The sequence below is a fragment of the Homo sapiens genome, chromosome X, assembly GCF_000001405.40.
Source record: "Homo sapiens chromosome X, GRCh38.p14 Primary Assembly".
NCBI classification, from domain to species: Eukaryota; Metazoa; Chordata; class Mammalia; order Primates; family Hominidae; genus Homo; species Homo sapiens.
Window position 1 is genome coordinate 30,555,370 of NC_000023.11, and position 22,418 is coordinate 30,577,787.

The following is a 22,418-nucleotide window of genomic DNA, read 5'->3' on the forward strand; positions in this document are numbered from 1 at the left end:
TACATGGCAAAAGGGACTTTGCAAGTATGACTAAATGAAGCATCTTGAGATGGGAAACTTATCCTCAATTATTCGGGTGAGCCCAGTTGTAATTACAAGGGTCCTTATAAAAGGTAGGCAGAAGAATCAGAGTCAGAGAAGGAGATGTGAGGATGGAAGCAGAGATCAAAGTCCAGAGCCAAGGAATGCTGCCAGCCTCTGGAAGCTGGAAAGAGCAAGGAAACTCACTTATTCCTAGAGACTCCAGAAGGAAGGCAGCCCTGCCCATAACTTCATTTTAGCCCAGTGAGAATGACTTTGAACCTCTGATCTCTGGAAATGTAAGATAATAAACTTTTGTTGTTTCAAGCCACTAAACTCTATTAATTTGTCACAATAGCAATTTAAAAACCGAATATCCTGCCTATTCATACACTCATTCAGTTCCAGTTACAGCCATCGACTTGCAGTTTCCTGTTGCACCAAACCCTCTCATACTTCTACCTGAACGCTTCTCCTACCCATTTGCTTAGATCTGATCTTGTTCTTCAAGAGTTATTTAAACCATCACTTCCCCCCTTGGAAGCTTTTCTTACATTGGGCTCCCCAACTGTCTAGAACTCCCTACCATGTCTCCTTTTCAGCACTCACTACACTTGAGTTGCAATAATTGATCATCTTATTCCTGTTTGTATCACTTTGCCAAGTTCTTGCCTAATAAATGGCTTTGTTACTTCTTCCTTAGTTATCTTCCAGGTCTCCATGACAATATGGTAAGTTTTCAGAGAGCAGGGCCTACTCCTGTGTGTGTATACACACGTATGTCTTCCCTCCATATGCTTAATACACAGTGCTCCAACTCAAAAGTCAAAACAAAGCAAAACAAAAACACAACATCAAATAAATATTCATTGAAAAAAACTGATGCAGCCTACTTTGTAACAAATTATATCTTGGGAATCAACGGAAAATAACCATGCATTCTATTGTACCATTTATTAACCTGCTGTAATAAATTAGGCTCATTTATTTAGTTAGTTTATGCCTTGAGAAAACCTCAATAGCATTTTTTTTCTAGTCAGAATTATCTGGTTTTCATATTGATGGTCTTTTACTTCAATCACCAAATGCAGTAGCCAACATGACCAAAACATATTTATCCATTTAACAAATATGAAATGGTTGCCTACTGTGTGCAAGTAATGTTTAGGATGTGGAAAAGCATGTGGATAAATCAAAGTTCATGTTCTGGGCAGGAAGACATACAAATAAATAGTATATCAAGCAAAACACTAAAAAGGAAAGATGAGATAACATAAGAAATTAATGAGTTGACTCCACTCAGAGCAGAAAAAAAATCTTTAGTGAGACAAATAGAGTGGTGAACAGAAAAAGCAGGTGATAGTGGTTAAGAACCAGGGCTTTCAAGTTAAATAAAACTGAACTCAAAGCCAATTCCACTATTTACTGTGTGCCCTTGGACAAATTATTTAATTTCCCTGAGCCCAGCAGGCTCATCTGTAAAATGGGGATAATAATAGACATTCCACCTCATAAGATTATTATAAGAATTATGTAAGATAATTCTTGTAAAATTCTTAACATGGTGCTAGACACAGAGCAAGCAATTAGTATATTGCATTTATTATTGTGATAGTTTTGAAACAGTGAATAACATTTCTAATAATTATTTCAAAACCAGATTTCCTTACACAATAGCATATATTGTGAAAAAACATATATCCAAAATATATATATATATCCATTCACTCTACAAATACAAATACTGCTAAATGCAGAGGATTGCTCCACCCAGATTGCTCTTTCGGGGTGAGGAGCTCATTCCCCCAGTAGCTGCTTGGAATTTGGCTGCTGAAGACACAGTCGATTCCTACTTTGGGGATTGCCCTCCTCCACTGAACTGCCTAGGCTAAGGTTACACTCCGCTCCTGGTAGATGCTGGAGTATAAAAGCTGACCCTCTTGTTTCCATTTGTAACCATTTTGAAGGGTCACCCTAGCTCCAGGGGCTCCCTGTGAGATGGGCGGAAGCCTCTGTGGAAATCTCTTCTGCTTCCTTCACTCCATCACAGACATTGTTCCCAAGACCACTCCTCAAGGAACTTACCAATCTCCATCTCAGAGTCTGCCTTCCCAGCGAACCTGAATTAAGCCAAGTAACCACTATATGGACAACGCACTACTGTTAGGCAGGGTTGGCAAGCTTCTTCTGTCAAGGACCAGGCAGTAAGGGTTTTAGGCTTTGGTGAGCCATATTCTCTATCACTTTTACTCAACTCTGCCATTCTAGTGTGAAAGCAGCCAGAGACAACACATAAACAAATGGGCACTGCTGTGTTCCAATAAAACTTTATTTTATGGACACTGAATTTGAATTTTATATAATTTTCACCCATCACAAAATACTGTTCTTATTTTGCTTTTTTTTTTTCAACCATTTAAATATTGGAAAAATCATTCTTTGCTCGTGGGAGTTCAAAAGCAGGCAGCAGGCTAGATCTGGTCAATGGGCCATAGTTTGACAATCCCTGAGCCAGAGGAAAGATGCGATGCAGAGCAGTGAAGCTACTATTCTAGTGAATGAGTTTACAGAATTTGATATCATGGGACCCTACAGCTTGTAACCTTGTTCCAAGGACATGGAAGACCCCTTCCTGGCTCCAGGTCAAGAGGGCATGGAGAAAAGGAAGAGGTAAAAAAAGGGAAACAATAAGATTCATAATTTCTTTCTTTCTTTTTTTTTGAGACGGAGTTTCGCTCTTGTCGCCCAGGCTGGAGTGCAATGGTGCAATCTTGGCTCACTGCAACCTCCACCTCCTGGGTTCAAGCAATTCTCCTGCCTCAGCCTCCCAAGCAGATGGGATTACAGGCGCCTGCCACCATGCCCGGTTAATTTTTGTATTTTTAGTAGAGACAGGGTTTCGCCACGTTGGCCAGGCTGGTCTCAAACACCTGACCTCAGGTGATCCACCCACCTCGGCCTCCCAAAGTGCTGGGGTTACAGGCATGAGCCACCGCACCTGGTCTCATAATTTCTTTTGAAGCTTAGTACCAAGAAAATCAAACACAGCAAAATAACACTAAATGGTTTAGTGCTATGTGGTGTTTTTCATTTAGACAACTTCATCTCTACCAGGAAACAGATGTAGGAGATTTGAGTGGCTGTTTTGTGGCTGTGTCTGTAACTAAGAAACCATTCAAAAATAAAAACACAATTATAATTTGTTACAGTTTTAATATTTACAAACAATATACCTTTAAATGATCTGATACAGAATAGACAAAGGAGAGATAAACATATTTTGAAAACTGTTTGACCCTATCTTTCTACCCAAATATAGCAGCCTTCTACAGTCCATCTCCTTCAAAAAGAAACAAGTTGGATGAATTTATTTGGGTAACAAATATATTCTTAACTCTTTACCCTGAAACCTTTTGACTTTTTTTTTTTTTTTGAGACGGGAGTCTCACTCTTGTTGCCCAGGCTGGAGTGCAATGGAGCGACCTCGGCTCACTGCAACCTCTGCCTCTCAGGTTCAAGAGATTCTCCTGCCTCAGCCTCCCTAGTAGCTGGGATTACAGGTACCCACCACCATGTCCAGCTAATTTTTTGTATTTTTAGTAGAGATGGGGTTTCACCATATTGGCCAGGCCGGTCTCGAATTCCTGACGTCAGGTAATCCACCCACATCAGCCTCCGAAATGCTGGGATTACAGGCGTGAGCCACTACACCCGGCCACCTTTTGGCCTTTTTGTTTCATCTCATTTGACTGTCTTCTTTTTTAATTCCTATGTTTCTTCAAATGAATTAACCGTTTCTTTTTTGATCATTTTTATTTTTGCTTCCTTGCTGTACACACCTCTCTTTGAAATCATTCCTTATGGCTCCTCTTACCATATTCCTTCATCAAGTGTAATATTATGAGATTTCTCCATGATTCACACATGACTTCCAGCTGATCTTTACTTCTCTAGCCCTTAATTCCCCTTCACTAACCCCTCCTGCACATTCTCAGAATAAATGGATAAAGTGTTGCTTCATGTTTAAGTAAATGCGAGACAGTAATGGAAGCATCCTCTCTATGGATTTACATTGCTATACTGAGAAATATGGAGACTAGGAGTGCTAATTTCAGTAATTTCAGTTGACATCAATTGCAATAGGCGGCTAAAGACTATATCTCTGGCTTTTGAGGTCTCCAGATTCTTCTCTCTAGACACTTGAAGACTGATTTGGTCTACACTTGTCATGATGAGTTCAGACGCCAGAATCTGGGTAGGAGAACTGTCATGAAACACGGTGTCCATAATGTACTGTTTATATAACTCCACAACCTTCTGCTCCAGGTACTCATTCAGAACTGCATTAGAAATAGGATTCTGCATTTGCAAGCTGCTTTTCTCTTTGATGCTTGTTATTCTCCAATAGGATGAGTACCGCTGGATAGGTTTTTGGGGAAAGTCACTGGGCTGAGTAGAAATGGAATCCTCCATGGGTAAAGGAATCTCAGATGACTTCAGCAAAGGGCCATATTCAAAACTGCTCTCAGAGGGAAAATCTGTTGTCACTGAATTAATGGCCATCACCTGGCCCCCTGCAATCTGTAAGTCATTATAATTCTTGCAAATACTTTTGCAAGAAGATGGAACCAAGTAGGTCTCTCTGCTGGCATCTCTACATATTTCAACTGCAGCCAAGTTTGGGCTTTCAAACACAGGATTGGGGTTTGTCTGCAGCACTGTGACTCTCTGACTTCTGCTATGTTGGCTCTCTCTTGAATGCACTGAAGAGATAAACTTGCCAGATGATTTGCAGCTCACGTAGAGACTTCTGACTTGTGTTTCATCCACAGAGGAATAGGAAAGGGTAGCAACAGAATTTGTCTCCTCTTCCTTTTCCCCAGCCACCTGCTCATTATAAGAGGCACAACTCCAGTGGATGTCATTCCAGTACTCAAGTCCACTGAGATACCCTTCTGACAGCATTCTGGAAAGAGAATTGATGAGTAAGAATGGGGAAAAAGAATACTGAAATTTTAGAAGTTGGCACTTGATATATCAAAAAATAAGGACAATGAATAAATTCACTTTATTCATTCACCAAGCTCGTACTAATTCTGTGCCTACTGTGTACCAGGACTATGGCATGTGCTAAGGATATAAAAATGAAAAGCACACAATTCCATCCTTCAGGAAGTTTCCCACTATAGGAAAAAATCAACTAGATATAAACAATTCCAACATTGTATCACTGAGGATTATAATAGTGATAGGTAAAAAGGAAGTACAGGGGTGGGGGGGTCCCTAACTTAGCCTGGGGCAAAGGGGGAGAAGTCACAGGATGTGTCATAGGGAAGGTGATATTTCAGCTGAATGCTAAAGAGTAATTAGGAGTTCCAGCCATAGGAACAGGCTTATAAGATAATATGGTGGCATGACCTACTCACCACATACAAAGAAGCTGAGCACAAGCAGAAGGAATTGGGAAAATAGGCTGAAATTGGATCGTGAAGAGCCTTGGCAGTCAGGCAAAAGCATTTACATTCTGCCCCGTAGGAAATGAACAGTGATCTAGAAGTTGCAGATTGGAGAGAAACATGGCTAGTGGATTATGAGCAAAACAATGAGAAAATCTGTGGCAAATTCTACTGAAAACAAGTGCTGTGTCTTACTTAACTTTGTATTGGATCCCTAGGAGCTAGCACAGTTACTTGCATTTCTACAGAGACTCAAAAGGTATTTGTTAATTTGAGTTAAAGAATTTTCAACAATGACATGGTATGAAATTAATTTGTGCTCAACACATCATGAAGTACCACAAAGCCTACCCTGCCTTTGTATCCCAGAATAAATTTCCTTCTCTCTCCCTCCCAGTTCTCAGAATACATCCTGAAAATGTCTCTGTATCTAACTGATGTGTTTACCTCCTAGTTACCAAGGAGCTTTTCTGACCATAGACTTTCCCCACATCTGCCTCCCCTCCCTACCCCCAGCAATTGTCACTGGTCTAGAGTGGCTAGAACAGGCTAGAAACCAGCAGCTGCATTTTCTAAAAACAGAACACACTGGCATTCCCGGCACTGGGGCAAAAGGCAACAGCAAGGAAAACTGGTCCTCTTGGGCCTCGAGAGCTGGGCTTCTGAAACAGACCTGTCAACTTGAGCCTGAACTTGTAATGTCAAATAAGAAAAGAAGGATTTTTTTAACCATACATAAAGGTCCTTTTAAAAATTGTTAACATCTCTTTTACATTCATGTAATTATTGTTTCCCAGGTAAATAAAATGTTTCCCTTTTTTAAAAATTGTATAAGGGTAAGATAGTAATTTTTTTTTTCTCTTTTGGAACTATTCCTGGTTTATTTAGCAAATCTCAATTTTTTTAATGTTTACTATATTCTGGGCACAGTTATGTGCCATGAAGACACTAAGCTAAAGGTCTTCAACAAATCCATGAAGTAATTTCTGTATGCTGAACACACTTATAAGGATTAAAAAAAAAAAAAAAGTTGTCCTCTCCTTTAAAATCTATGTGAAGTTCTGCCCTCAAACCTAATATGCAGGTGAAAAGGCCAATCTTACCTACACGGAAAGATAAGAAACAGAGAAAGAGTTTATCATAAAGAACTAATGGGGATGCACTTACTTCCTGGCCCTCAACACCCTACCCCCACCTAGGCTTTAGCTAGGGCATTCTGCCTTCAAGTCCTCAGAATATCATTGTGGAAAATCAGAGCATAAATGATCGTTGACTTTTGAGTATCTAAATGGGCTTTAGAAACTCCTGGCAGAAATAATCGTTTGGGAGAAATGACTTTTGAGAAACCATAACCTGAGCTTTTACACCTCAGAATCCAGAACCATGAAGGACTTAAGGCATAATATTTATGCACTAATAATAAACTTAAGTAGACTGAGTCCCCCATGGAGGGAAAAAGTATGTCTCCAGAGAGATTTGGGAGCCAAGAGTAGACAGGTTTGCAAAATTATCTCATGCCCGGCATGGTGCAGGAGCAGAAGGAGAGACAGCCACACAGATCACCTGGGCGGGCCAGCATGAGGCTGCCTCATCAAGTCTGCTCACACATCAGCATGCTGCTGAGAGCCTCAAATCCTGGAGAAGACCTACAGTTGGGGTGGAAAGATCGCAGACATGATCTCCATAGACTACAAACCAGGGACCAGATGAATGGTAAGTTGCCATGGATACCAGTATGGCTACATGATGACAACCAAAGATATCCCCCACCCACTCCCATCCTCAGCTGACCCTAAGGTTTTATATAAACAATCTAAAACTTAGACGCACATCCAAGGAGGAGGGAGCCCTGAAGTGACTGAGGAAATCCTGATTGACAGTGAGTACTTTCCCACCACTCTGGAGAAAGTGAGCTCAAAAAAGATATCCAATTGAGGTTGAAGAAAGCAAGGATCCCTAGGAAAGATAGCAGAATAGGCACATGCATGTATTTTTTTTTCCTTTCCAAACTTCACTAAAACAACAATAAATGGTTTTTAAAAAGGTATAATACACACACACACACACACACACACACACACACAAATACACACACAAAAAAAAAACAACAGGAGAAGAGACCAGTACAACAACATTTTAGAAGCTGAGAAGCAGGAGATTGAGGATTAATGACAGGAGACCTAAGAAAACTGAATCTTACAAGAGCCATGGTGATATGGTTTGCTGTGTCCCCACCCAAATCTCATCTTGAATTGTAGTTCCCATAATCCCCACGTGTCGTGGGAGGGACCATGTGGAGATCATTGAATCATGGAGGTGGTTTCCCCCATCCTGTTCTCGTGATAGAGAGTTAGTTCTCACGAGATCCAATGGTTTTATAAGGGGTTTTCCCCTTCTCTGGGCACTCATTCTCTCTCCTGCCACCCTGTGAAGAGGTGCCTACCACCATGATTGTGTTTCCTGAGGCTCCCCAGCCCTGCAGAACTGAGTCAATTAAACCTCTTTCCTTTATAAATTACCCAGTCTCAGGCAGTTCTTTATAGCAGCATGAGAATGGACTAATACACATGGGGAAAGCGAAGAGCCAATCTGACTTAAATTCCCCTAAATGTTGAGGAATTGGTGGTACCAGATGCCTTTTTGGAATGAGAGTAAAGGGGATATACCTAAAGTAAGAAATATCGAAAATCTATTTAAAAAGCAGTCAGAAACCCAGATCATCTTTCACACCTGGCCATGCAGCCAGGTGACACTCCCCATCCTTAACCCCAAAGAAAAACTTGAAATGTAGTCTCTAAAGAGTGAAACAGAGGGTCTCTGGAGTAGGGAATACCAGTTGAGGGTAAAGTTACTGAATTGATAATAGATCAATTAAATAAACATACGCATATTTTTGCTGAGATCCATGACCTCTCTCCCCTTACTCAGCTCCAAGAATGCTAGCAAGAGGAGTATCCACCTTCTAGGCAGGATATTGGGAAGAATGTTTTGGGGAATCTGACTTGTCTGAGAAGAAGAGCAATTGACATCAGAGGTTCCCCAACTCAACAGGCAACCAGATCATCCTTTATTTAAGCCCACAATTAATAGAGCCTATTGAGCTTTTTGGATCTTTATCCTTAAGTATGAGTAGAATTCTGAAACATCTGAGGAAAAGTCTGATATGAGAAACATCAAAATAGTCATTTAGAGGAAACAAACTTAGGGTAGGGTGAAGGAGGTGGCAGATTCTACCATCAATATTCTTAAAGAGTTAAGGTATAATATAATCATGAATTACAAATTGGATGCTATAAAAAAGAAGAATTCTGAAGCTGTTAGAAATTAAAAATGATAATTTTAAACCTCAATGGAAGGATTGAAAAGTAAAGGTGAGGCAAATTATTATTTTGAAAGCAGAACAAAATTACAAGATGGAAAATAAAACTAGAGAGGACCAGTCCAGGAGATCTATTATCTGAATAATAGGAGGTTCAGAAAGAGAGACCAGAGAAAACAGAGGAGAAATTCAAAGACACAACTTAAGAATATTTCCCAGAATGGAAAGACATAAGTTATCAAAATAGTGAGTGAAAATCGATCTATACCTCCTCTCATGAATGTGAAATGATAGAACACTTGGGACAAAGAGAAGATCCTATAAGCTTCCAGAATGAAAAAAAGAGTCACAAAAAAAGACCAAGAACCAGAATCTTCAGACTTCTCAACAGCAACATAAGAAACAATAAGACAATGAAAAAATGTCTACAAATTCTGAATTTTAATTCAACTAGTTATTTTCAACCGAGACCAAGTTATCAATTAAGTATGATGATAGAATAAATATATTTCTAGGTTACAAGTCTCAAATAGCTGATTTTCCAAGCACCTTTCTCAGAAAGTCAATAGACTATGTGCTCCACTGAAAGGAGTAAGTAAAACAATAAAATGGAGACAAAGGATACAGGAAACAGGAAATCCAGCACAGGAGAGAAACAAACAGCCCTTAAACTCGGATAGCCTGAGCCCTTGTTCTAAACCCTGCAATGTAAAGGGCCTCACTCTGGCCCTCCTTAAGTTGCACCTCTCCCAACAGGGTAAGGAGTTCTAGAGTCCAACATGATGGGAGGCCACCCAGCCTCTATACTGCTGCCTTCTATCTCACACTTCTAGTATTCAGGACCTCAGAATTCCCTGCTCAGATGGCAGACCCAATTACAGAGTCTGCACAGGCTCCTCCCCAAATCCATCATGATTAGGGCAGACTTGGGGAAACTGAACATGCACACACCTCTAGGCCCAAAAGATGATGAAGAGGTGGTTTTTAGTGAGGGCTGTAGACAGAGCTTAGGTGTATGGGCTGAATGTCAAGGATAGCCAGGACTGGGAAAAGCAGATGGAAGGGCTGAAGACTGAGGCTCCCCATTTTTTGTCCTAGGCCCAGAAGTTGTGAAGAGGAGACCTACCCATGATGACAGTGAAAAGACATTCTGGGATGAAAGCTGCATATGTAACAGGCTTAAAAGGCAACCAGGCTGATTAGAACAGATCGGAAGGCTTCTGAAGCTAAAGATAAAATTGAAGACAACTGAAAAGGTCTGACCATCATGAAATACAATTTATACAATTGACTACAAACTTTGGGGATAAATTAGAAAAAGCTAAGCAAATGAAAAATCTAGACCAGCACTGTCCAACAGAGCTTCCTGGGATGATGGAATGATCTATATCTGTGTTGTCTAAAATGGCAGCCAATAGCTACATGTAGTTATTGGGTACTTGTAATATGGCTAAGGCAACTCAATTTTTAATTTAGTTTAAATTAATTTTAATTGTCACATGACTACTCTATGGAACAGCAAAGACTTAGAAAATAGTGAAGGTGATAACATAAAATTTTTAAATACTGAAGATTGCTAATTATAACTGCAGTATTTTTTTTGTTTTTTTGTTTTTTTGTTTTTTGAGACAGTCTCACTCCTTCACCTAGGCTGGAATGCAGTGGTGTGATCTCGGCTCACTGTAACCTCCACCTCCCAGGTTCAAGTGATTCTTGTGCCTCAGCCTCCCGAGTAGCTGGGACCACAGGTGCACGCCACCACTCCCAGCTAATTTTTGTATTCTTAGTAGAGATGAGGTTTCACCATGTTGGCCAGGCTGGTCTCGAACTCCTGACCTGAAGCGATCCACCTACCTTGGCCTCCCAAAGTGCTGGGATTACAGGCATGAGCCACTGCACCCAGCCTATAATTGCAATTTAAAGTTCATTGGTTGATCGCCATTATAGCATACTATGACAGTTATTTTTAGCATACTAAAGTAACATCTGAGTAATTAATTTGTTTCTGTATTCCTTTCAAGGGATGTCAGAAAGGAGCTAACAAAAGATAGTAAAGCCAGGCCAGGCGTGGTGGCTCATGCCTGTAATCCCAGCACTTTGGGAAGCCGAGGCAGGTGGATCACATGAGGTCAGAAGTTTGAGACCAGCCTGGCCAACATAGTGAAACTCCGTCTTTACTAAAAATACAAAAATTAGCCAGGCATGGTGGCGCATGCCTGCAATCCCAGCTACTCAGGAGGATGAGGCAGGAGAATCGCTTGAACCCAGGAGGTGGAGGTTGCAGTGAGCCGAGATTGAGCCACTGCACTCCAGCCTGGATGGCAGAGTGAAACTCTGTCTCAAAAACAAACAAATAAAAAAAAGAGAGATGGTAAAGCCAGAGCATAAACTATTAGATGTTGGGTAATGAAATGGGATTAGAACACTTATTTGAGACTTTTTTTTGTTTCATTATTTTGAAACAAAGATGATATAGAATTTCTTTTAAAGTTTTTTAAATGCTTCTATTTGGAGAAGTCTGGAATGCCTGTGTGAATTGTTCAACGAAAAATTGTAAAGATATTTTCATTTTAATTGTGCATTCTTTTAGGTCATCTCTGAGGTGACAAAAGTGCTATCCAATAGAACGTCTTGAAGTGATGAAAATGTCCAATATCTGTGCTTTCCAATATGATAGCCAATAGCTGCTTAAAATGTGGCTACTGTGACTGAAATTTTAATTTGATTTAATATAATTTAATTTAAATAGCCACACTTGGCTAGTAGCTGCCATATAGACATCACAGATCTAGACAATTATAATCTCCAATTGATAATGTTAAGAAAGTTGTGTAGCAGTAAAGCCAGGCACAGTGGCTCATGCCTGTAATCCAAGCACTTTGGGAGGCTGAGGCGGGAGAATCACTTAAACCCAGGAGTTTGAGACCAGCTTGGGCAATGTAGGGAGATCATATCTCTACAAGAAATTCAAAAATTAGCCAGGCGTGGTGGTCCCAGCTACTTGGCAGGCTGAGGTGGGAGGATCGCTTGAGCCCAGGAGTTTGAGGCAGCAGTGAGCTGTGATTGTGCCACTGCACTCCAGGCTGGGCAACAGAGCCAGACCATGTCTCAAGAAAAAAAAAAAAAAAGAAAGAAAGTTGTGTTGTGAAAAAACAAAGCAAAACAAAAACAACCCATGGTCTACTATATGGCTGAGTTATAAATAGCTTTTATATAGTCATGATAATATAGCACATGATAATATAAAGCACTGAAAATAGATCTAACTCAATTTAAAATATAACCACAGGGTGACCATGAAGTCAGTACACAAAGATAAAATATTTTTATCATATATGGCAGAATATCATGTATATATAAAATACTATTTTAATGTACATATAGTACAGTGATACCAATAAAAATCATCCTAGGCATTTGCCTGTGAGTCCAGACTAGGCGGCCACTCTGTATAGTGAGAGGAAGGGGACAAAGTTGTATATGCTTGGTGAAGCCAGGGGAGGAAGGAGAAATAAATCCTCCTCTTCATGATGACAAGTCAAGAAATAATGCCCCAAACTGAAAAATCCAAAAGTTGCAACACAGCATGCTATTTAAAGAAATGATGGTAAATATCAAGTAATTAGTTAAGGGAGATAAAAGTAGTTGCTTCTGGAAAAGGAGTCAAGGACAGCAGTTTTTCATAACAAATTTCTCAGAATTATTTGACCCAATTTATGTGCAAGTATAACTGTGATTAAATTTTTAATTAAAATAAAAACTAAAGATAAATATTTTAAAGTAACTAAGGGCCAGGTACGGTGGCTCACACCTGTAATCCCAGCACTTTGGGAGGCCAAGGAGGGCGGATCACCTGAGGTCAGGAGTTAGAGACCAGCCTGGCCAATATGATGAAACCCCATCTCTACTAAAAAATACATAAATTAGCCGGGCGTGGTGGCAGACGCCTGTAATCCCAGCTACTCAGGAGGCTGAGGCAGGAGAATCACTTGAACTGGGGAGGCGGAGGTTGCAGTGAGTCGAGATCGTGCCACTGCACTCCAGCCTGGATGACAGAGTGAGGCTCTGTCTCAAATAAATAAATAAATAGTAACTAAGGGGGTGGGGGGAGAAGAAGATGGCATTTCCTGTACAGCTGTTTGTGGTTAAAGATATTGCATATTCTAAGGGTGAAGAAGAGAGAGAGATGACTGTGTGACAGGTTAACCTTTATTTGGCCCTACAGACAGAAAGGATTCCAATGGCAGTGAAAAGAGGGAAAACATTGCAGACAGAGGAGAGAAGGGCAATAAAAGTGAAGAGGTTTGTGTTGTCAATTTCATGTGGGTCAGTAACAGACACCAATGTAGGTGGGGCGCAAGCATTGTTTGTCAGTGTCATGCTCACCTAAGAGCCTTTCTTGAAATGTCCCAGTTTGCCGAATCCCCCCTTTAGGACCCCTTATCCCCATTCAGACACACTCCAAGTCTCCCACTATTTATCTTATTTTTCTTCATATTAAACAATCAACCCTAACAGAGTCTTCTTTCATTGTATGCAGATGAGTTTTATAAGTACTCCTGATAATCTCCACACTCCTTCATAACAATGAAGGAAAAGGGCCTAGAATTTTATTTTGAGTACAGTAATGGGCCCCTTTTCCTATTGGTTGTCAACTGAGAGGTTTGCTGGTATCTTAATTCTGGCAGAATAAGAACCCTATCATTCTGATGTGTAGGACCCAAGACAGACCAGTAAAGTGGTGGGTCTGATGACGGAAAAACAGAAAGTGCATCCTAGTGTCTAGGGATAGACACGTCCCCAGCAAAAAAAAAAAAAAAAGGAAAAAAGATTTCTGAGAGGGAGGAGTGGGAGATAAGGTCAGGTCAGGGAGGTAAGTTGGGACATCCAAGACTGAGTACATTTGATTCATCCTGTAGGCACTGCAACGTTCTGGCAGGTAAGGAAGCTGATTCACCACATGATATAATATGGCAATAAAGTGCAAAATTAATTTCAGCAGAGTGAGATTGGTATTAAGGACCCAAGTTAGGAGGCTGTTGGATTCATCCCAGCCTGAGATGACTGGGACAGGAACCAGGAGGGAGGTAGGAGAAAAGAAAGAGAAGGAATGCATTTGAGAGACCAAGACCCCCAGACATGGAAGTGAAGGAGAGAGAGGAGCCAAAAGTAACTCTGAGTGTGGGTATGTAGGGGAAATGGCACCATCATTGACCAAAATGGGAAGATCAGGAGGAGCTGTGGAGGAAGCAATGGGTTTAGCTTAGCTCTTCTTGAGCCTGACAAGAGATAGACTGTCTGGGTGCAAGTGTGTAATTGTCCATTGGAAATTCAGGTAGGCAGCTCATTAGAGAAGCTACTTAAAGTCCACAGTGAAGTCACCTTCCACTTGCAGGCAGTAGGAATTTATATTGGGGGCTTGAGGAGCTTTCTAGGTTTGTAACTTCTTCTATGGGGAGCCTACCTGGAACAGTACAAGGAGGAAGGAGCAGCAGCAAGGGCTTTGTAAAGACTACAAGAGCTTTGGATGCATTGAACAAGTCACATTTTAAAAATCTATATTCGGGCCGGGCACGGTGGCTCACACCTATAATCCCAGCACTTTGGGAGGCCGAGGTGGATGGATCACAAGGTCAGGAGTTCGAGACCATCCTGGCCAACATGGTGAAACCCCGTCTCTACTAAAAATACAAAAATTAGCTGGGGGTAGTGGCGTGTGCCTATAATCCCAGCTGCTCGGGAGGCTGAGGCAGGAGAATCACTTGAACCCAGGAGGTGGAGATTGGAGATTGCAGTGAGCCCAGATAGCGCCACTGCACTCCAGCCTGGCGACAGAGCAAGACTCTGTCTAAAAAGAAAAAAAAAAATCTATATTTGAAGGCAAAATTTAATTTCATACTCATTCAGGCAATATACATATGTGGTGTATATATATAAATATATGTATGTTACCTAGAACATCTCATCTACAAACGTCTTCCAGTGTCTTTTCCTTCACACTTAACAAATCATGGAGAATTGTATATATTTTATAAAATATATATGTGTGTGTACATAAATACTCTCTCTCTCACACACACACACACACACACACATATATATGAAGAGAAAGAGAGAGAGCACGCACTAGTATTTAAGAGACCAGAGTTCTCTGATCTTGTCACTAGCAGTGGTTTTAGTTTAGTTGTTGCCAGATCTATAAAATAGCTAACATAGTACTAGCTACAACCCAGATAATATTCTAAGTGCTTTTTATGTACTAAATTAATTGATCATCACAAAAAAACTCTAATATTTAGGTACTATTATTATGCTCATTTTACAGATGACAAAATTGAGTAGTGTCCAAAATCACCAGCAGTCAGGAAACAGAGCCCAAGTTCATGTTCTTAACCTCTCAGACACTCAACTTATCATCTGTAAATTGAGAATGTGGGATTAAATTATGTCTAGAGTACCATCAAACTTTAATTTTGAATGAGATTATGAAGAATAAAGTGAGCATTAATCAGAATCAAAATTAATTTCTGAAAATTAGCAGCAGAGGGCAGCAGAGAGCACACTAAGGAGGCTTTTAAAAGACCTTTCTAAAGCTATGCAGAGTAATAATACATAAAATTTATAAACAAAAATACATATATTAACACATTTAATCTTCATAATTAATTTCCTAGTTTAGGCCCTTTGCTTCAATTCATCTTCCACTTTAATGCACTTAAAAGGGCCCATTCAAGGCCGGGTGCAGTGGTTCACACCTATAATCCCAGCACTTTGGGAGGCCGAGGTGGGTGGATCACCTGAGGTCGGGAGTTCGAGACCAGCCTGACCAACATGGAGAAACCCCATTTCTACTAAAAATACAAAATTAGTCTGGCGTGGTGGCACATGCCTGTAATCCCAGCTACTCGGGAGGCTGAGGCAGGAGAATCGCTTGAACCCGGGAGGTGGAGGTTGTGGTGAGCTGAGATTGCGCCACTGCATTCCAGCCTGAACAACAAGAGCAAAATTTAGTCTCAGAAAAAGAAAGAAAGAAGGAAAGAAAGAAGGAAAGAAGGAAAGAAGGAAGGAAGGAAGGAAAAAGAGAAAGAAAGAGAAAGAAAGAAAGAAAGAAAGAAAGAAAGAAAGAAAGAAAGAAAGAAAGAAAGAAAGAAAGAAAGAAAGAAACCCATTTGGCCAGGCGTGGTGGCTCACGCCTGTAATCTCAACACTTTGGGAGGCCAAGGCAGGTGGATCACCTCAGGTCAGGAGTTTGAGACCAGCCTGGCCAACATGACAAAACCCCATCTTTACTAAAAATACAAAAAATTAGCAGGGCGTGGTGGTGCATGCCTGTAATCCCAGCTACTCAGGAGGCTGAGGCAGGAGAATCGCTTGAATGGGGTGGGGTCATGGGCAGAGGTTGCAGTGAGCTGAGATCGGGCCACTGCCCTTCAGCCGGGGCGATAGAACGAGACTCCATCTCAAAAAAAAGGGGGGGGGGGCATTACTGCACCCTTTAATGCACCACTAGAATAAAGACAGCATTGCACATCACAATATCCTCAAATTTTAGAGTAGAGACATCAAGAAAAGTTAATTGGGTTTATTTTGACTGATTTTTGCATTTTTCTTAATAATTTTCCATTATTTTTGAAATTCTAATAAGATATCACTGGGTCTCTTCAAGGGTATATAAAAGGTACACTTCAAACAGATGTTAACATATTTGTTAGACTTGATTTCATCTGAGACATCAAAATTTAACCCAATGGATTACTTTAATTGTTCAATGATATTTTGTCACTTGAATTCTTGTTTCTCATCTTAGAGAAGCTATATATATATAAAGCTATATATATGTAAAGCTATATATATTACATATAAAATATACATATATAAAATGTATAAAATTCTCCCTGATTGGTTAGGCGTGAAGGAAAAGACACCTGAGAATATTTGCAGAGGAGATGTTATAGGCAATTTTAGCCCACATTAATCATTAACAGATAGGGGAATGCCAAAATTAACCTTATGTGCAAATTCACAACTTAGAAATATGTGCTAAAGTGCAGTGCCTTGTTAAATCATTTACTTGCTTTTCAGAAGAAACTGCAATGTAAGTTCTCTTTCTAGATGAGCATTTAGTTTTTCAGAAAGCTGTTGTTATCACTTCTTCACATAGACACATTTTTGATTGATTTTTTAAAATTGACAGATAAAATTGTATGAATTTCTCATGTATAATATGGTATTTTGAAGTGTGTATATTGTGAAATGGCAACATCTATCTAATTAACATATATATTAGCTCACAGTTATTATTTTTGTGGTGAGAATACTTATATTCAGTTTCTTATCATTTCTCAAGAATATGATAGATCATCAACTGTAGTCACCATGCTGTACAAGAGATCCTTTGAACTTATTCCTTCTATATAACTGTAATTTTGTATCCTTTGAGCATGCTGATCAAAGGACACACTTTTAATTTACATCTAAACAACACAAGCGTGGAGTCAAAGAGAAAACCTAAGGAAAGAAGAACTTTATAAGGGGGAACGTTTAAAACACCTAAGTTAGGGATCAGCAAACTTTTTTTATACAAGGCCAGAGAGTTAATATTTTAGACTTTGCAAATCATACAAACTCTGTTGCAGCCCTGCTGGCCTAGCAGGAAAGTAACCATAGACAATATGTAAACAAATGATTGTGTCTGGGCTCCTACTAAAGTTTACAAAAACAAGCAGGGGGCCAATTTGGTCCTGGGCTGTGGCTTACCTACCCTTGACCTAAGTCAAAAAGCAGACGCAATAAATGGGATACGCATCATAATAATGACAGCTGTATGCCGAGTGCTTTCCAGGCATAGCCCTTAACCTTCCAACAACACTGCAGATTAGATATTATCATAATCTAGATATGATCATATCCTTTTAAAAATCTTTTAATTTTTTTCTCTTTATCATTATCTAGATTTTCCAAATGAGAAAACTGAGTTTCAGGTATGATAAATACCCCTTCCAAGGCCACACAGCTACTAAGTACTATAGGCAAGATTCAAGCCCAAGTTTACAAACTCCAAAGTGTGTGTTCTGTTCTTAGAACATATCACACTATTGTACAGTTAAGAGCAGTTAGTATCACGCAGTCATAATAACACGCAATTAGTCCTTCCAGGAAAAGGGCATCAGCCCTGATTCCATGTAGTAACAACAGCACTTGCCAAATAAAAGAAGGAAGGTGCAGTGAAGTGCAGAAAGGAAGGCTCCAGGGGAAAGTCAGCACTCACCCCAGAGGGGTGGCCCAGATGACTACACATATGTCCCAATTATGTATCGATGCTCATATGTCTTTGAGGAATACAATTAATTTATCCTCTTTTTTTTAATCTAACCATATGAACATTTTCCTAAACCATGACACTGCTATAGCCTGGCATCGCCTCATCTTTAATTTTGCAACCATCTTTCACAGGGTGATTTAATATTACAGGCTGCACGTGGTGGCTCATGCCTGTAATCCCAGCACTTTGGGAGGCTGAGGTGGGTGGATCACCTGAGGTTAGAAGTTCAAGACCAGCCTGACCAATATGGTGAAACCCTGTCTCTACTAAAAACACAAAAATTAGCCTGGTGTGGTGGCGAGCACCTGTAGTCCCAGCTACTCGGGAGGCTGAGACAGGAGAATTGCTTGAACCCAGGAGGCAGAGGTTGCAGTGAGTCATGATCACACCACTGCACTCTAGCCTGGGTGACAGAGCAAGACTCCATCTCAAAAATAAAAAATAAATAAATTAAATAAATAAACAAATAATACAGATCCTCTGTTTAAATACAAACCACTTCCCATCACCTCAGGGATAAAGTCCATACAGGGTAGGCCTGTGATGTATGCTCCCTGTCTGTCTTCCTCATCTCATCTCTGCCTGTTCCCCACAGGACCCAGGACCCCAGTCATGCTGATCCCTTCCCAGTTCACCTGAGCCCCATGCCTATCCCAGGGATTTGTGCATTTTTTGTCTTCCGTCCTGAGAGTTCTGGTTCCCTATCCATCCTCTGGTCCACCACCCATAACCTTCAAGTCTCACCTCCTATGTTAACATTTCAGAACCCTTGGCCATCTACTCAGAATCATTGAATCTGAATTAGAAAAGGATTCTTGGCTCTTCTCTCCCCTACCCCAAGGTGTTCATCAGGATTGCATGAAACTTTAATAAAACAGAAAAGATAAATCACTGGAATAGTCTTTGGAAAGAAGGAAAAATTGACACGAGCAAAAGGAAAAAACAAGATTGAGGATTGGTGGGGAGTGTGGGAGTTTTGGATGATGAGGCAAAACAGATCCCGCCCCTTGAAGAACATTTTGGAGGTGTGCAAACTAAGACACCCAAAGAGGCTGGATTGAGATGGACGCAAAAACTATTAGTGGCCACACACAAATGGAGGCAATGGGATGGGACTGCCTTCCACCATCATGGGCTACAACATCTTGGAATTACAGACAGGAAAACATTTGTGATCTTGAGCCTAGCTAGCAGGGGTACAGTTTGGCTTCTACCTGTCAACATGTCTGCTTACAGAGATATAATTTTTAAGAGTTTTGAAATAGTACATCTAAAGACACATCTTATTTTAGTAAATCATTTCTCTTGAGGGGCACTGAGATTAGTCTTGCTTTTCCACTATGTGTAATTATTGCATATGCCTCCGTGAGTATTTCCACAGGCCAGATTTGGAGGAGCAGAATTACCAGATCAAAGCTATTGCCAAATTTCCTTTCAAGTAGCTTGGATCAATTTATTCTCTCACCAGCAATGTTTGAGATTGTTTTCATTGACATTCCTTAGCACATTATTTTTTTTTAATTTTCCAATCAAATGAGCTAATTTATGTTTGTCTCAAATTAGAGAGTCTTGTTAAAATCATATGTAGGTCATGTGTTATTTTTTAATGCCTGCAAAACTCAAAATCCTGTATTTCATCTCTTTACCTCTATATTATATTACCCTATAATATAAATTCTAAATCCCATAATTCCATTGTAAACTTTTTAAGACTTTCTTGGTGTGGGGGACTTGCAGGTAAATTGCTGAAAAGTGATCACTGAAAAACTTGAATATTGTTTTGTTCATGATTTAATTATGATAATGTAACCAAATCTGTATTACATGTTCCAGTTTTTTTTCAGTGAATGATGCTAGACCTTTACCTAAACAAAAAGCTTCTTTAGGAAGGACCTCCCTGTATAAAATAGCATCTGCAGTTTCCTTACTCTTATCTTTAAAAATACCTGTTCCTTAGAGCTGGAAATAATCACTTAATCACATACCTTAGATTATATCCCTATTATTTCAGCTTGTATTGAATTTATTGATGAATGCTCTAAAATATTGCTCATTAATATTTCAATTTCTGTTACAAATCATATAATTTGGGATTATCTATTCTTGTATCAAATATGAAGTGATTCTTAACAAATTAATTTCTGAAAGTATAACTTTATGGCTAAGATAATACAATCATAAATCAAAAGCCCTCTCTTCTTCATATTAATATTACCAAGTAAATAAATAATTTTTTGTTTGGTTCTGCTTAGATTCTTATGACCAAAGTTAATGGCTACTTCCAAGGACGATCTGATGTGTGAATTTTCTTAGTTCAGAAAATGTAAACTTTGGTGCAGAAATATTAGTAAATATATTTTATCATAGTTTGGATTTTTCTTTATACTCCTTCTTGATATAAATTGAAAAATTAAACCTTTTGGATCATTTTTTGAATCACTTTCAATGTATTTTGATGCAAAATGAGAGGACTAAAAAAATAAGAAACCTATCATAATAGTATTGTACTGATATAAATTTCTTTGGTGTTATAATTGTTAATCATTGTTAATCATGTTAATTATGCCAATTTCATTAACATTTACTTAATTGTAGGCATGTCAACTACAAATGCAATGCAAGATTCTTGATTGGATCCTGGATTTAAAACATAAAAAGATTCTAAAGGACATGTGGATAATTAGGAAAATTTGAATGTGTATCACATCTTAGATAATAGTATTGTGTTGATGTTATGTTTCCGTGGTGTTGTAATGTGTTATAGAAGACTGCCTTTATTTTTAGGAGATACATGCTCAAGAATTTAGGGGTGACATGTGTCCTAAAGTCAGCAACATACTTTCAAACCATTCAGGGAAAAAACTGTGCATATGTGCATGCGTGTGTGTGAATATATATATACACATATAGAGAGAGAGAAAAGGACAGGCAGAGACAGAGAAAGACAAAGCGAGAGAGAAAGTAAATGTGGCAAAAAGATACCACTGATTAATACACATGATGAAAATATGGGTGTTCGTTGTACTATTCTTTCAATTTTTATATAGATTTGAAACATTTCTAAATAAAAATTGGGAGGGGGAAAAAACCATATTTAGTTAATGAAGGCATATTTACATTGTATAATGTTTATTAAGAGCCTAGAGGGACAATATCTTATATATCTAAAATAATCACTACATATGAGATGAGAAATGTCTCAGTGACTTGATATAAATACTTCAAACATCATTTTGCTCTGAGATAATAGAATTAGTGTACTACCTTTGAATATCTCCAAAATTCCACTTATGATATGGATGTTTGACACAGACTTCAAATACTCTTCAATCCTCCAGAAGCTTCTCAAGCTCAGAAACAATCTTCTTCTCACACTGACCTATGCAAGAAATGTTATAAAATATCAATATAAATATTCTGTCCAAACCAGGTCTATATTTAAGCACAGATTCATATGCGCAAGACAAAGAATGTTTGAGCGAGTCTAAAGATAATTCAAACAAAACTCCACTCGTACATGCGCTATCTTTAATACCAAAAGGGAAGCTTTCCCCAAATCACCCAGATGAAAGTCGAAAAGCATCCTCACTATAGATCGCATTCATTTTGAATACATCCTGCCACACAGAAAAACACTATCACAAGCTTGCTGAACTGAATAATTGAGAGTCAAATCCAATTGGAAAGGACTGTGATTGTTTTCGTCTCTAAAACTGCATCACCGTAACTGAATTCAAGAGCTGTGTTGTCCCTGCAAAACCCTGCTTAGGTTTTTAGGCCTTCTTTTAAAAATGCAGAAGCTAAACCAGTGTGGCAATTAGTGAAAGAGGACTGCAAAAATAACACAATAAATATTTGCTCAGATCAGTCAAAAATTGTAGGTAAAAATATAAGTGTTTTAGAAATGCTTAGAATGTGGACACGAGGAGGTAAGGAAAGGAAGTATTGGGCTTAATTTCTCTTTATTTTTCAACTCCACTGAATGCTTGTTTAAACTCCCACTTGTCTCTGATATGGTAAGCTAGAAAAGCATTTTAGATGTCATAAGAATGGATCAGCGCTCTCGTGATAAAGGGCTAAGAAAGCGTGAGAAGACAGATGACAAAAAATAATAGCGGAGTTCTAGGGTCCTTTGCTTTCTTTTTCTTACCTTCACTAACCAATCTGCTCATCTGATCCGGCAGAAACACAGCAACTGACCAAACAGAGAGATGAACAAGCCAGCCAATGCTCTTTCCAGAAATTTTCACAAGCCTTTCACTGATGAGACCAGTAGACTGAGCTGCTCAGTGCAAAGCCA

At 39.3% G+C, this 22,418-nt stretch overlaps 1 protein-coding gene across 1 annotated transcript; it reads right to left on the reverse strand.

Moving 5' to 3' along the window:
* TASL (TLR adaptor interacting with endolysosomal SLC15A4) lies at positions 3,440-22,397 on the reverse strand. The gene is made up of 3 exons (NM_025159.3): positions 22,269-22,397; positions 21,383-21,497; positions 3,440-4,987 (listed from the first exon to the last, which is right to left on the reverse strand). Exon 3 carries the CDS (start codon positions 4,984-4,986, stop codon positions 4,081-4,083), a length of 906 nt encoding a protein of 301 aa, NP_079435.1. The 5' UTR covers position 4,987; positions 21,383-21,497; positions 22,269-22,397; the 3' UTR covers positions 3,440-4,080.

What these genes read in the sequence shown, in the direction of transcription:
- TASL (NM_025159.3), bottom strand. Translation starts at nt 4,986, where the DNA reads ATGCTGTCAGAAGGGTATCTCAGTGGACTTGAGTACTGGAATGACATC.